The 15,633-nt window shown below is 40.5% G+C and overlaps 1 protein-coding gene across 15 annotated transcripts in view, besides 1 other annotated feature; it reads right to left on the bottom strand.

The window, feature by feature from the left end:
- ELP2 (elongator acetyltransferase complex subunit 2) overlaps positions 1-15,633 on the bottom strand; it is a 50,659-nt gene that overhangs the window by 7,967 nt on the left and 27,059 nt on the right. For 10 of the 15 annotated variants that reach the window (NM_001242875.3, NM_018255.4, NM_001324467.2 and 7 more), the window contains 8 exons: positions 13,687-13,756; positions 12,761-12,856; positions 12,576-12,633; positions 11,587-11,659; positions 7,924-8,116; positions 5,369-5,490; positions 2,395-2,528; positions 1,431-1,544 (listed from right to left, as the gene is read on the bottom strand). In NM_001242875.3, coding sequence (NP_001229804.1) covers positions 1,431-1,544; positions 2,395-2,528; positions 5,369-5,490; positions 7,924-8,116; positions 11,587-11,659; positions 12,576-12,633; positions 12,761-12,856; positions 13,687-13,756 — 860 coding nt within the window. Of the gene's footprint in view, positions 1-1,430; positions 1,545-2,394; positions 2,529-5,368; positions 5,491-7,923; positions 8,117-11,586; positions 11,660-12,575; positions 12,634-12,760; positions 12,857-13,686; positions 13,757-15,633 lie in introns of those variants that run through there. The other 5 variants (NR_040110.3, NR_136897.2, NR_137173.2 and 2 more) reach the window with 3 other exon arrangements.
- Positions 3,858-4,058: a silencer, noted in NCBI's record as "peak3116 fragment used in MPRA reporter construct". NCBI's record gives its function as "represses an SCP1 promoter by STARR-seq MPRAs in K562 erythroleukemia cells {active_cell/tissue: K562}" and the evidence as "EXISTENCE:reporter gene assay evidence [ECO:0000049][PMID:32103011]".

The following is a 15,633-nucleotide window of genomic DNA, read 5'->3' as shown; positions in this document are numbered from 1 at the left end:
GCACAAACTAGTTCAACTGCTAAACCCAGCCCAGAGAGGCAGGAGAGAAGCCATGGGGGCATGGCAATATCTCATTTTAATAAATATAATTATAATGAGCACTAACATGCTTGGCTGACATGGAGACAAGATCTGCTGGATGAAATATCTTAAGACATTGCTCACAAATCTCTCTCCATTAAGCACTCACCCTCATCATATTGTCATTTGAAATTGCTATTTGAAATTGTATTTTCAACAGTACAGATATACGAAGGTTGAAAAAGCCTAAGAAAATATAACACAGAATGATATTAGTAGCTTTCTGAACGTTTATACTTTTTTGGGGGGGACAGGCTCTCACTCACCCAGGCTGGAGTGCAATGGTGTGATTATGGCTTGCTGCAGCCTCAACCTCCTGGGCTCAAGTGATCCTCCCACTTCACCCTCCCAAGTAGCTGGGACCCACAGTCATGCACCATCACACCTGGCTAATTTCTTTTATTTTTGGTAGAGACCAGGGGTCTCACTGGTAGAGACCATGAGCCAACACACCCAGCCACATTTAGGCATTTTTAAAGAATAAAATGTGGGCCAGGCACAGTGGCCCATGCCTGTAACTCCAGCACTTTGGGAGGCCAAGACAGGAGGATTGCTTGAGCCCAGGATATGGAGACCAGCCTGGCCAACACAATGAAACCCCGTCTCTACTAAAAATACAAAAAAAATTAGCCTGGCATGGTGGTGCGTGTCTGTAGTCCCAGCTATTTGGGAGGCTGAGGTAGGAAGACTGATTGAGCCTGGGAGGCGGAGGTTGCAGTGAGCTGGGATCTTGCCACTGCACTCTAGCCTAGGTGACAGAGTGAGACCCTGTCTCACACACACACAAAAAGAATAAAACCTGTAAAAGGGTAGATTAAAAGTGATCCCTACTGTCTAGGTGGGTGGGATGGGGAGGAGGTTGTAAACAGCAGGTGCTCTATGCCAGCTCAGGTGGCAAATGCATGAGGCCCAGGGCATGAGCCTTGCTATGCCTGAAAGCTCCACTATAGGATCTTTTGAGGTAAAGGGCTCAATCATAAGGATACGACTACCAAAGTGCAATCCAGAATATTTTTAAAAATCACAAACATTTTGAATCAAATTAAGAATCTACTGTAGTCAAATTCTACAACACACCATTATGGAAATCACTTTCATCTCAAATGGTTGTTTATAAAAATAATATTATGCATGCAAGCAATTTGGTCAAGCAAACTTTTAAAAATCAAGTGCAATATATCAATTTCAGATTACCACATGTATCAATTTCAGATTACCACAAAACAAAGTGGTAGACACGACGAATACAGATATATGTCCCTCTCCATGAAAATGTGGCATAAAATTTGCCATGAAAGACCCCACAATTTCTAGTTAATCTGATGGAAACAAAAATAGGAAAGAAATACCTTTGACTTGTTTCTACACAGTGGGTCCAGTCATTTATTTCTGGAACTTGATCAGTCTTTTTCCAGGTATATAAGCAAATCTTTCCACACTCCAATCCTACTGCAACCACGTATCTGTTTTTAAGGGAGGGGGACAACAGTGATTAACTTAGCATGAAATTGTTATCTTCGTCATTGCTCTAAAGTAGTTCTTCACAGTGTCCCAACTGTCCCTGCCTTACAAAAGACTCTGCAGGCATCAGCCCAGGACATGCTGCACTGCTCTCCTGTGTCCTCAAGGAGCCTCCTCTTTACAGGGGCTGCACACAGATTTATCTGTGTCCTCTGCTGGCAAGGCCCATGAGCCAGTGTTTCCCCAGCTGGCTGTAGGGACCCTTGTTCCACTGAAGATGCTTGTTACAGAGAAAGTATTATAGTCCTAGATTTGGTGAAGTAAGAATCTTTGAGCCCCATTCCTAACCTGTATTTTACATTCTGAATCATTAGGTTCTATCAATTTAAAAATTATTATGAGAAACATAAGCATTTTGCAAAAGACAGTAACTCAGGCCAGGCACGGTGGCATACGCCTGTAATCCCAGCACTTTGGGAGGACGAGGCAGATGGATCACTTGAGGTCAGGAGATTAAGACCTGCCTGACCAACATGGTGAAACCCCATCTCTATTAAAAATATAAAAAAAGGAGCCAGGCGTGACGGCGCATGCCTGTAATCCCACCTACTTGGGAGGCTGAGGCAGGAGAATCGCTTAAACTCAGAAGGCAGAGGTTGCAGTGAGCAGAGATCACGCCACTGCATTCCAGCCTGGGCGACAGAGTGAGACTCCATCTCAAAACAAAAAAAAAAAAAGAAAAAAAAGACAGTAACTCAGAGGCTAGGAGAATTCACAAATGAAATGACATGAGGGCTACATATTAAGAAACCAAGTGGTCCTCTTAAAACTAAGCCCCACACAGAGACTGACCGTTGAGAAGGGTGGAGCACTGGGCAGACGCTGACAGCTGTCACAGCCCCACCCACGTCCAGGACTGAGGAGCAGGGGCCAATGTTGTGCTCAATACAGTCATCAGTGGAGTCGCACTCACCCCAGACAACCACCTAATACAGACAGATCACACACTGTAAAGCCTTCTCTTTGCAAGGTTTCTAGCCATGTACTACAGTTTCATCGGCAAAGATAAAACAAAGTATTTGCTCTGGTATTTTAAAAAATGCATCATTACATTCGTGTATGGTGTGCCAGGACTTGAGAGCATTTCAAGCATCAGAAAGAAGGCACGGTACAGCAGACATGCGTCTCCGAGAGCTCACCTTGGTCCAAAGACAAAGCGTTCCTGCCCAGAGACCACAGAGAGGTGTCTAACATGCCTTCTATACTCACAAATTGGTTCTGATCCAGTGGAGTCCCATCAGTAGGCTCATGCACTTCCCCAAGAAGCTACCACAAAATGCTTAAGAACTAATCAGCTTTTGGGCTGGGCGCGGTGGCTCATGCCTGTAATCCCAGCATTCTGGGAGGCCGAGGTGGGTGGATCACCTGAGGTCAGGAGTTCAAGACCAGCCTGGCCAACATAGTGAAACCCCGTCTCTACTAAAAATACAAAAAATAAGCTGGGCGTGGTGGCGGGTGCCTGTAATCCCAGCTGCTAGGGAGGCTAAGGCAGGAGAATCGCTTGAACCTAGCAGGCAGAGGTTGCAGTGAGCCGAGATCGTGCCACTGCACTCCAGCCTGAGCAACAAGAGTGAAACTCCGTCTCAAAAAAAAAAAAAAAGAACTTATCAGCTTTCTAGCTCTTCCTCTACACTGTCCATTGCTCAGGGAATCTACTCAGCTATGAGGAAAACCTGACCTAGATGATACCCCTCATGAAATGAGGCTTCCCTGGAAGCTCATGCCTCAAGGATGTGTGAATGGTCACAAAGAAATGGAGAGCAGGCTGAGCGTGGTGGCTCACACCTATAATCCTAGCAGTTTGGGAGGTCGAGATGGGTGGACTGCTTGAGGCCAGGAGTTCAAAACCAGCCTGGCCCACATGGTGAAACCCCGTTTCTACTAAAAATACAAAAAATTAGCCGGGCATGGTGGTGGGTGCCTGTAATCCCAGCTACTCAGGAGGCTGAGGCAGGAGAATCGCCTGAACCTGGGAGGCGGGGGTTGCAGTGAGCCAAGATCACGCCACTGCACTCCAGCCTAGGCAACAAGAGCGAAACTCCATCTCAAAAAAAAAAAAAAAAAAAAAAAAAAAAGAAATGGAGAGAGAAGTGAAGTGGACAACAGTAGCAAAATGCAGAACCAAAGCAAGATACTGAGCAGAAGGCTTTGTCTAAGCAAGAAGAAGTACATTTCAGAGAATGTCCAGCGAATGCTGCTTTGTCTGCTGGATCCCTGACCTATCCCTGAGAGTAGCAGCTGGACCATGTTCTATAGGCATGTGATATGGTTTGGCTGTGTCCCCACCCAAATCTCATCTTGAATTGTAGTTCCCATAATCCCTGTATGTTGTGGGAGGGACACAGTAGGAGGTAATAGGATCATGGGGGCGGTTACCTCCATGCTCTTCTCATGATAGTGAGTGAGTTCTCACGAGATCTGATGGTTTTATAAGAGGCTTCCCCCTTTTGCTCAGCACTTCTTTCTCCTGCCACCACGTGAAGAAGGATGTGTTTGTTTCACCTTCTGCCATGACTGAGTTTCCTGAGGCCTCCCCAGCCCTGAGGAACTGTGAGTCAATTAAACCTCTTTCCTTTATAAATTACCCAGTCTCAGGCAGTTCCTCATAGCAGCATGAAAACAGATTAATACAGTATGACTGTGGGGGACAAAAGCAGTCCTTCTTCCTCAGCATCAAGCACAGCACAGGCACACCAATGCCAAGAAAGAAAGAACAGGCAAATGAACAGAAGGGAGGGTCTGAGATGTAAAGTCTGCCATAGAGGTTGACATGTAAGTGTTTAGCCTGAGTGACACCCTGTCTGTGCTAGCACTCCACTTCAGTGATCTGTACCTTGTCTGTGACTAAAGAAGGCAGGGAGAGGAATGGCCAACACTAAACTGCTTCACCACCTCTAGTCTGTAGGAACAAAAGGATATTTTAAAGAGTATGAAAACAAAGGAAAGACCAGAGGTGAGGTGGACATTTCCCAGAAAACAAAGGTGAAGGTCATGTTGGAGAACATACTCTGAGGCTGGGTGTGGTGGCTCATGCCTGTAATTCCAACACTTTGGGAGGCCAAAGTGGGAGGACTGCTTGCGCCCAGGAGTTTGGGACCAGCCTGGCAACATGGCAAGACCCCATCTCTACACAATAAAAACATTGGCTGGGCATGGTGGTGAGCACCTGTAGTCCCACCTACTTGGGAGGCCAAGGCTGAGGTGGGAAAATTGCTTGGGCCCAGGAGGTCCAGGCTGCAGTGAGCCGTGACTGTACCACTGCACCCGAGACCCTGTCTCAAAAAAAAAAAAAAATTCCTAGCTACTTTGTTTTGACTTTTTTTAAAGCTTGGGTCAGTCATACTCCACCCACTTCTAGCACCAAATGAAAAGGTAACAATCATTTATTACAGAAAAATGTTAAATTCATAAAAGTAAGAAAACTAGAAAATAGTTTTTCCCTTATTCCCCTACCTCCCGCTGCCCTCCTAGTTTCTTGGTCTTGATTAATTTCATTTATTACTCTTCTTCCACTGGGACCATTTGATGAAGGTCATATGTCTGAAAGGTCTTCTCCTCATATTTTTGACATTTCAGAGAAATTTACTTATAGAATTTAACAAGAAAAGTCTTTTTTTATATGTACATATACGAAAAACAGAAAGGAATACATAGCTGATTTTTAAAAGCTGTAACAGAAAGGCAGGATTATGCATTTTTTATTCAAACATACCTATAAAAATATTATTTTTACATTTGAAAAAATATTAAATTTTTAAATAATTACCTTTTTGTCTCGACTCCCAGTGAAGAAATACTTGCTGTCAGGACTCCAATCACAAGACCAAATAATTCTACTGTGCACAGAAGTAATTTTGTTGGTGAAGGCAAAAAGACTAAAAACTGGCTCTGAAAGAAATATGTATACACTATTCACAAAGCAGAGAAAGCTGGGTTTTTACCTGTTAGGAAGTGATGTTTAAGTGCCATATACACCATATGACTTAATATTCAATTTATATGCACTGACTTTTGAAATAGACTGAAGCCAGGCAACCAACCCCTCACCAGAAGGCTGTGGACACAGCTATTTTTCTAGTAGGGAATGCTTTTGTACTGACTGGTCACTCTCTAGTGACTGATGACAAACATCTTCCAAACACTCAACTGAAGTTCAACTCACGCCTACAGAAGAAGCCTGAAGCTATTTAGCCTTACTCAAAGTAGGCAGATTTGCATATTAGGCTATAGAAAAAAGATTAATGCACCACTTAATGTTTAAAAAAAGAAATCTTAAGAAAATATTTTCCTTTTAAGATTTAAGTGTAAGGGAAGTTCTAGCCCTTATATGGACTAAACCTAACACACCTAACTGTTGGCAAGGCATGGTGGCTCACGCCTGTAATCCCCACACTTTTGGGAGGCAGAGGCGGGTGGATCACCTGAGGTCAGGAGTTCAAGACCAGCCTGCCCAACATGATGAAACCCCGTCTCTACTAAAAATACAAAAAATTAGCCAGGTGTGGTAGCAGGTGCCTTTAATCCCAGCTACTCAGGAGGCTGAGGCAGGAGAATCACTTGAACCCAGGAGGCGGAGGCTGCAGTGAGCTGAGATCATACCACTGCACTCCAGCCTGGGGAACAAGAGGGAAACTCCGTCTGAAAAAAAAAAAAAAAAAAAAAAAAAAAACCCTAAAAAACAAAAACCACATAACTGTTTATGAGGAGGGAATAAGAGCGTATCTATTATTACTCCATAATCCATAAAGATATAACAAATTAATAAATATGTTATTAATACAATTTTTTTTTGCAGGGGGACGAAGTCTCACTCTAATGCCCTGGCTGGAGTGCCGTGGTGGGATCTCCACTCACTGCAACCTTTATCTCCTGGGTTCATGCAATCCTCCTGTCTCAGCCTCCTGAGTAGCGGGGATTACAGGCATGCACCACCATGCCTGGCTAATCTTTACATTTTTTTTAGTAGAGATGGGGTTTCACCATATTGGCCAGGCTGGTCTCAAACTTCTGACTTCAAATGATCCACCTGCCTCAGCCTCCCAAAGTGGTAGGATTACAGGTGTGAGCCACCGCACCCGTCCAACTTTAACTTATTTTTTATTTTGTTAAGATGGGGTCTTGCTCTGTCGCCTAGGCTGGAGTGCAATGGCATCATCTTGGCTCACTGCAACCTCTGCCTCCCAGGTTGAAATGCTTCTCCTGCCTCAGCCTCCCAAGTAGCTGGGATTACAGGCGTGCACCACCACGCCCAGCCAATTTTTGTATTTTTAGTAGAGATGGGGTTTCACCATGTTGGCCAGACTGGTGTTGAACTCCTGACCTCAGGTGATCCGCCCACCTCGGCCTCCCAAAGTGCTGGGATCACACGCATGAGCCACTGTGCCTGGTGGACTTTAGCTTTTTAAACAGTAAATGCTGCATGTTAGGAAAAGATTAGTGATGCAAAAGAAAACAGTCTGTTCTAAAACATATTGCTGAGTATACTTTACAGTCCCTGGGTGTTCTCTAAAACACAAGAAACAAAGAGACCAGAAATATCACAAAACCAAACTGTATGCGAGTCTTATCAATGGAAAAATTTAAAACAGGATTAAACAATGCAAATATACTTTAAACACTCTCTAGAACTTATCCACCAAAAGAATCTGGGGGAACAGGAATAGGCCACTGACCCAACTACACAAAGGTTTTTAGTCCTCTTTTTTTTTTTTTCAGTTTATGCCAGGTTCAGAGTAGAATGTGGGTAGGTGGGCTAACACCTTGCTCAGGGGTCATTTATCCAGATGGATGCCTAATATGCCCTTCTCAATGAAGGAGGTGACTGGAGAGGGTAGGAAAAAGCTAAGGATAATGGTTTCCTCTACATTTCATAATTTAAAATAGTACTATATTAATAAAATAGTTCAGAGAGAAGAAACCACTCAACCATGAGTTTTCTTAGTTGTATCTTCATTATTCCTGTCCCATAAAATCCTAGCTTAGGATAAGTTATCCATTAGGCTTTGTGGTAGCATTCTATCACCATTTGCAAAACCTAACTTCCTACATACAGATGTTTATGTTTCTTGAACTGAGATATCTGAATGCATGCCATCTTGACTACATAATCACAAGTAGGTCAACCCAAATAAAGATCATCTCCATTTAAATCTTACAAGGAAGGTCAAGTCTTCCTCAGTTATCCAAGAACTTTGAAAGGCTTCAAAGACATGAGGCTCTACCCTTCACTCTGTTATCTTTCTCTTAACTAAAGCTGCTTAATGTAGATAAAATGAACATAACTGTTTCACTAATAACTTTCCCAATCAGAAGCTGTTTTACCGAACTCAGGTGAGATTGTATCCTGCTTTTTCCACAATGACCAGGTTCGATCTCTGGAAACAGCTAGTAAGAACTTCTCATTAGGTGAGAAGGCCATCTGCGTGACTGTCAAACTGTGGAAAACTAAATTCTGCACCTGTTTCCAAGATGTAGTGTTCCAAAGAATGATAGCTGCATGCTCTTTCTTAGCTGCCTATAGGACAGAGATGAAACAATGAAGCTAGTAAGTAAAAATAAACTGAAGAGAAAACATTTTAAAAACAACACATTGTTTCTATGAGTATATTTTATTTATCTGTTTGAATTCCAAAAAAAATTCCTAGGAGATAACATACTACAACCATTTCTTATCTCTGGGAAGAATTACAGATGATTGGGATTAAAAAAAATCAATCATCAGGGACTATAGTATCATGTTTTCTTTCTTTCTTTTTTTCCTTTTCACTGTAGCTCTCAGATCTTGAAAAATTATTCCATGATCAAAACTGTGACATGGAGGGGGAAAAATAAAATGAAAAACTGTGACATGAAGGGGGAAAAAAATGAAAATTATCCCAAAATAAAGGGTTTACTTTTAAAAAGATCAATCCTGAGAGAAATTAAAGACCTGAATGAATGACAGGCATATTGCATTCATATGTCAAAATACTCAATATTGTTAAAATTCTCCCCAAATTGATCTAGAGAATCAATGCAATCTCCATCAAAATTCCTGCAGGTATTTTTGCAGAAACTCTTAAGCTGATTCTAAAATGCAAAATAAAGGATCTACTATAGGCAAAATAACTCTATACTTCCTAATTTCAAGATGTATTATTAAAACACTATCGTTACTAACAGAGTATGGTACTGGCATCATATCAAAAAAGATCAATAGAACTGAATAAAGTCTACGGAACAGACCCACATATATGAACAACCGACTTTAGACAAAGGGACAAAGCACAGTGATGAAGGGGATAGTCTTTTAAAAAAATGATGCTGAAACTGGTATCTACAATAAAAGAAAATCAGTTTTAACCTATACTCCATGACAAATACAAGAGTTAATTTGAAAGTATCATAGGTCTAAAGGCAAAAGCTAAAAATCCATAAAACTCCTAGAACAAAACACAGCAGAAAAATCCTTGTGACCTTGAATCAAAGACTAGATATAAGAAAGACACAGCCTAATTAAAAAAAAAAATTGATAAACTGGACTTCACCAAAACATAAAACATCTGCTAGTTGAAAGACACTGTTAGGAGAATGACAAGCCACTGAGAAAAAATATCTACATAAGCACATGTGATAAAGTTGTATCCAGGGTATATAAAAAACTGTTCAGTGTCCATCAATGGATAATTGGATTTTTAAAATGTGGTGTATACACACACACACACACACACACACCCCCCATGAACTACTACTCGGCCATAAAAAACAATGAAATCATGTCTTCTGCAGCAAAATGGATTGAATTAGAAGCCATTCTCCTAAGTGGGAAATGACTCAGAAGCAAAAAGCCAAAAACCAGACATCTTTGCTTACAAGCAGGAGCTAAACAATGGGTATACATGGACATATGGCATGAAATAATAGTAGACACTGGAGAATCAAAAAGGTGGGAGGGGTTGAGGAATGAAATACTCAAGGTACAAGGTATACTATTCAGCTGATGGGTATGCTAAAATCCAGAGTTCAACAAGACACAATATATCCATGTAACACAGTTGCACTTGTACCCCTAAATCTATAAAAAAAACTTTAAAAACTTTTCAAAACTCAGTAAGAAAACAATCTAATAAATAAATGGGCAAAAGATTTGAATAGTTTCACCATATTTTCATATGGATAAAAATTAGCACATGAAAAGATGCTTAATATCATTAGAGAAATATAAATCACAGCCATAATGAGCTGCTACACACTTACTAGAACGGTTAAAGTTAAAAAGACTGATACTAAGTGCTGGTGAGGGTGCACAGCAACTGGAAATCTAATACACTGCTGCAAAAATGTATAACCACTGCGGAACACAGCATGTCAATTGTCTTAAAATTTTAAATATATATCTACCATACCATCCGGCAATTCCACTCACAGATATGTACTCAAGAGAATGAAAGCATATATCCATGCAAAGATTTGTACATAAATTTTCATAACTGTACCATGAGTAAAAGCCCAAAACTGGAAAACAACCCAAATGTCCATTAATAAGTGAATGGATCAACAAATGGTGGTACATCTGTACAAAGTAAAACTACTCAGCATTAAGAAGGCATGAACTACTGATGCATGCAAAAACATGGATAAATCTCAAACAATTATGATGAAAGAAAGAAGCAAAACCAAAAAAGTACATACTTACATGATCCTATTTATATACAATTTTAGAAAATGTAAACTACTCTATCATGACAAAAAGCAGACAAGTGGTTTCCTAGGGATGGAGGCAGGAGGGGAAAGGGAGAGGTAGAAAAGAGGAATTGCCAAAGAGCACAGACAATGTTGGGGGTTGATGGATATACACAGTATCTTGATTGTAGTGATGATTTATACAGGGATAAACATGTCAAAACTTATCAAATTGTTCACATTAAACATACCATTTATAGTATGTTAATAACCCTAAATAAAGCTGTTAAAAAATGTTTAGAGGATACACATATTGTTGTGAATCAACTTAAAAAGGGGGAAAAAAAATCAATTACAGGATTGACAGTGCCCTAAGTTAGAAACAAATTATCTGCTCAGTAGAAGCCCAGACATTTGAACTACTGAATTCCATTTTTCCCAAAGGCTCCTATAAGAGAAGGAAGTCCTCTCAGTACCATTTCAAAGAATAAACAAGTGGGGTAGGGGTGGGTGTAGGGGAAGCACAGCAGTATTTCTTATGATGTCCAAAATGCAGATCAGTGGCATAAATCCACATTAAAAGCAGGGACACAAGCCCATGCAGGTGGGCGGCTCTTATCATCATATTTAAAACAAGTAAATAAATTTCAGAAAATTTAAGACGAATGTGTGGGTTTCAGACCCTTCGGATAATCCTCCACAATTGCTATATCATTCCACAGGATATGGATAAATACTGAATGATGAATTCAAGACCATCCTTCCAGGTAAATGCAAAAGTCATCTACCTTAGGTCAGTGCCAAGAGTGTCCTCAAAAAACAGTCTGATGGATTTCACTCCAGGTTTCCTCTTCTCATTTCCCTGTGTCTCTATGACTCCAATTATTTAAAATTCATCAAATTTTTAGGTGTCATTTTGAGATATCGCTGTTTTATATACAGAGTCTCACTCTGTCACCCAGGCTGGAGTGCAGTGGCGCGATCTTGACTCACTGCAACTTCCACCTCTGGGGTTCAAGTGATTCTCATGTCTCAGCCTCCTGAGTAGCCGGGATTGCAGGTGTCATTTTGAGATACCTGATTAAATCACTTTTAGCAGGGAGGCACAGATAAACTCAAAATGTGCAGCTGAAACAGACTTAAAATGAAACCATAAGCTTTTGAAGAGACAGAAGGGTAAGAGAAATTGAGAAAGTAAGATTCAAAAAACCAAGCACTAGTGGCCTTTCACGTAGAGTTCTGCCTAAATCATTACCAAACTTGCAGGAGCCTGATGACCCAAATAACCTGTGACCAAGCAGAATCAAAAGTAAACTTCCCTACCTTACAAGCTGAGGCAAGCAGAGTCTTTGAACTGTTACAAGTAACACAAAATATTTCATAACCGTGCCCATATCTAAAATTTAAAAAGAAAAAAAGTACTATTAGCAAATGAATCTATTCTCATGCCACACAATTTTTGAAAGTAAAAAGAATAACATCAACCTCTCTAGCTAATATACAATTCTTTTAAGGAACATTGTATGTTTGTCTAGGCAAACATTTGAGAGAAAGACAGGGAGATGGGAGAAAAATGTCAGCTTCCTATAAGTAATATAACTCATTCAAACAATTAACATACAAGTTTTCACCTCCTACTTTCAACCAGCCAGTATCTAAACAATAAAACATGGAAAAGTCTTCATCAGGAACCATCAAAGACAAAAAGACCATGACTAACAACAAAACTTAAGTCTTTTTTTTTTTTTTCAAGGCAAGGTCTCATTCTGTCACCCAGGCTGGGGTGCAGTGGTGCAATCATGGCTCACTGCAGCCTCCAATTCCTGGGCAGAAGCAATCCTCCAGCCTCAGTCTCTCAAGTAGCTTGGGACTACAGGCATGCATCATCATGCCTGGCTAATTTTTTAAAATTTTTTGTAGAGATGGGGTCTCGCTATGTTGTCAAGGCTGGTCTCAAACTCCTGGCCTCAAGTGATCCTCCTGCTACGGCCTCCCAAAGTGCTATGATTACAGGTGTGAGCCACTGTACCCAGCCAAGTCTTCTTAATAAAGAAAAAATATATATTGTTATGCTTCTCTACTTTAAAAATAAGATGAATAAACAAAACTAATGAACATAATAAACAGTAATATAAAAATAAACGTTAAGGTTTAATTCTCATTCCTTATGAAGAGCCACTAAGAGATATATAGAAGAGGAGGAAAAAGGTAGGTAGAAGGAAGAAAAAGGAGACATCAGATTGTGGGGTGGGGAGGAAAAGTCAGAAGTTACGACAGAATCAGACCAAAGAGCTAAATACAGTTTAACTTACAGTTTTTGAACTTCAGGCCACAAAGTATTCTGCAGAAGATGATCCTCAGTGGGAGGCTCTAGAATAAATTGAAGCTATTTTTTTCTATGTAAAAGTGAATTCTATAGCACTTATTTAGGTCAGCAGCAATAGATAACATACTGTGTGTTCTAGCGATTTATTAAATTGTCTTTGTCACATCTTACCAGTAAGTATGGAGGGCTGAAAGGCCACCTGCTGATACTCAAAACCAGTACTAGTTAACAGCTCCTCTTCATCAGAAGGCTGAGAAGCTATATCTCCTAGTTTGAAGAAACACATCAAGAATATAGTCACTATTTTTATATCTCCTTCACTTGTCTCAATATTAAGGCCACCACATAGAAAGCAGTGGTAATTCAAAGTGGTGCAATTCACAGCTGTGTCCATGTGATTCCAAAGGCAAGAGTATTTCCATTACTCCAGTATTTTCCAAACATGCTCCTGGCAGCATTAATCAACTCCATAAAGGTTCTTTCCATTTTCTTTGATCTAACAGTCTCCAAACTTTTAAAACTACACAACCAACTCTTCAGGTTACCCACATTCTCATCTGTAGTTCTAACACCAAAACACATACTTTGTGGCAGGGCGTGGTGGCTCACACCTGTAATAACAGCAGTTTGGGAGGCCAAGGCAGGTGGATCACCTGAGGTCAGGAGTTCCAGACCACTCTGGCCAACATGGTGAAACCCTGTCTCTACTAAAAATACAAAAATTAGCTGGGCATGGTAGCACATGCCTGTAGTCCCAGCTATTTGGGAGGCTGAGGCAGGAGAATTGCTTGAAGCCAGGAGGCAGAGGTTGCAGTGAGCTGAGATCGCGCCACTGCACTCCAGCCTGGGTGACAGAGCAAGACTCTGTCTCAAAAAAAAAAAAAAAAGGGAAAAAACATGCTTTGTGAAAACTGCATCTACTTCAGTGGTCTGAGTGTGTACAAAGAGTACTTATCACGAAATAGGTGATAGAAAAGATATACTGTGATTTAAAAAAAAAATCAGCTGTAACAAACATTAGGTAGACATTACACAAGTGTATGACTGGGGTTTAAGTACCACTATGGGTTTAATAATTTTGAAGACAAAAGCCTTACCCTGAAAGACAGCTTTATTTGATAATCCCAATGCAGGGACAGTGGCTCCTTCTGGAAGATCACTATCTTGCTAGAATAGAAAATATAATATCTAAGTTATAAATGCTAAAGTTTTATTTGCTAATTTTAAAACTAAAAGTTACTGTTACTTCAGGCACTACAAAAAAGTCACGCTCATAAATGCTGAGAAACAGTTTAAAGACCATCTTGTGTGGATGTCTACCCGTACTTTCACTTCCTGAACCAACAATGCAATGCTAAGCAATCACTCTCCAACAGACAAGCCCTACCAGGCCTCCAACTCCCATGCAATCCATAAAGTCGGGCATCCTCTCATCCATAAAGGGACCTCATCGAACCATAACATTTCAATGGGTTTCAGGGTCTGACAGGAAATGCAGTGAGCTGAAAATGGAAGGCCCAGAGCTCTACTTCCAAGATAATCTCACAGGCACATCCCCTGATGATGCTCATATAAACACAGATGCTTCCCAGAAGGGAACAGTTACAGCATTAGTCATAGTATTTTCATTAAACATACCTAACTAACTGAGTATTTTAAAACTTCGTATGAGTGTCATTTGAAAAGGCAATATCTGCTTAGATTTTGCAATTTATATCAATCAAATTATTACATGTGAAAATATATGCTAACCATCAAAACTGGCACATGCTCATTTGCTAAGAGTGTTCTGTACAACTTAGACTTTAACACAGAAGCTGAAACTAGACACAAACATGAATAGTAAGAATTTAAAACCATCAAAAATGGCTACCTGGGACACAAGAAACAGTATGCTTTATCTCAGAAACAAAGAAAAACTAACATGGAAAAGAACAGTAAGAGGCATTCCTACATACCTATCCCAACACTTAGTATGGGAGCAAAACCCAAACGAGAGCAAGCAGCTCGCTACTCTACAGGATCCCTGTATCTTAGGACACAGAACTAAGTGTACAACTGGGACTAAGCCTCTCATGGAATCGTAAAACCCCATTTCAATTCCTAGAACTGAAGAGATCCTGAAACTAGCTGTCCCTCCACCTCCATACGCTTAGCTCTACATAATAACCACAATTAAGGCTTCCCTTTTGATCTTGTTCCTATTGTCCATTATTATTAGAAACAAGCATAACAGAATCTTAAATCCTCTTCACATAATCAAGAAAGCCTGTAGCATGAGGTGCTGAGTATACATTCCAGGAAATTTAGTTGGCTACTTCATTTCTAATGAATTCCATTTTCTTCTCCAGTCTTACTCACACTGGTGCTAGTTTCACTGCTTTCAGAGTCTCTTGGCTTCCAGATAACTCTCTTCCAAAATCCTTTTCATCACTCTTTGTGTAGGAGCCTCCAACAGCACCCCACAGTCAGACTGTGCCTGCCTCCCAAGTCTTCCACCATGGACTTTCCCCATTCTCCCCACTTCTATCCAGTCTTCAGTCCAACAGGTACCACAATAGCTCTGGCCTCCCCTTTGCTCTCTCTCTCTTCCCTTTGCTCTCTCCCTCTCTCTCCCCTTCTTTTTGCCTATCAAAAGGGTACTTATCCTTTTTGAGCTCAGAACCAAATTCGTGACTCAACTCTAAGTGAAGGACTGTATAATATGCACTTCTGTGTAACCTATCTTCCTACTTAATTTTCCTTCTTTCAAAATTACTTCATAATTTTTATAATCCATGTACTTTTATAAGTAGCTCAAATCTTTCTTAGAAGGGCGTATAAACATAAAAAAGAAAGTTACCCTTACAAAACCCAAATCAAGTCCCATTAAACATGTTCTCGTTATTCCAATACAATGACCTCTTCCTTCTATGAAATTTACTTTAGTACCATAAGATTTAGCAATTAACTGGTCTCATCTAACAACTGCAGATACATTAGTTCCACTGCCCCCTACCTCTACCCCTACCATACAGCTAGATGGTAATCTCCTTGAAAACAGT

Source organism: Homo sapiens, chromosome 18, assembly GCF_000001405.40.
Source record: "Homo sapiens chromosome 18, GRCh38.p14 Primary Assembly".
NCBI classification, from domain to species: Eukaryota; Metazoa; Chordata; class Mammalia; order Primates; family Hominidae; genus Homo; species Homo sapiens.
Note: the sequence above shows the minus strand (reverse complement) of the source record. Positions and strands in the feature narration are given on the sequence as shown.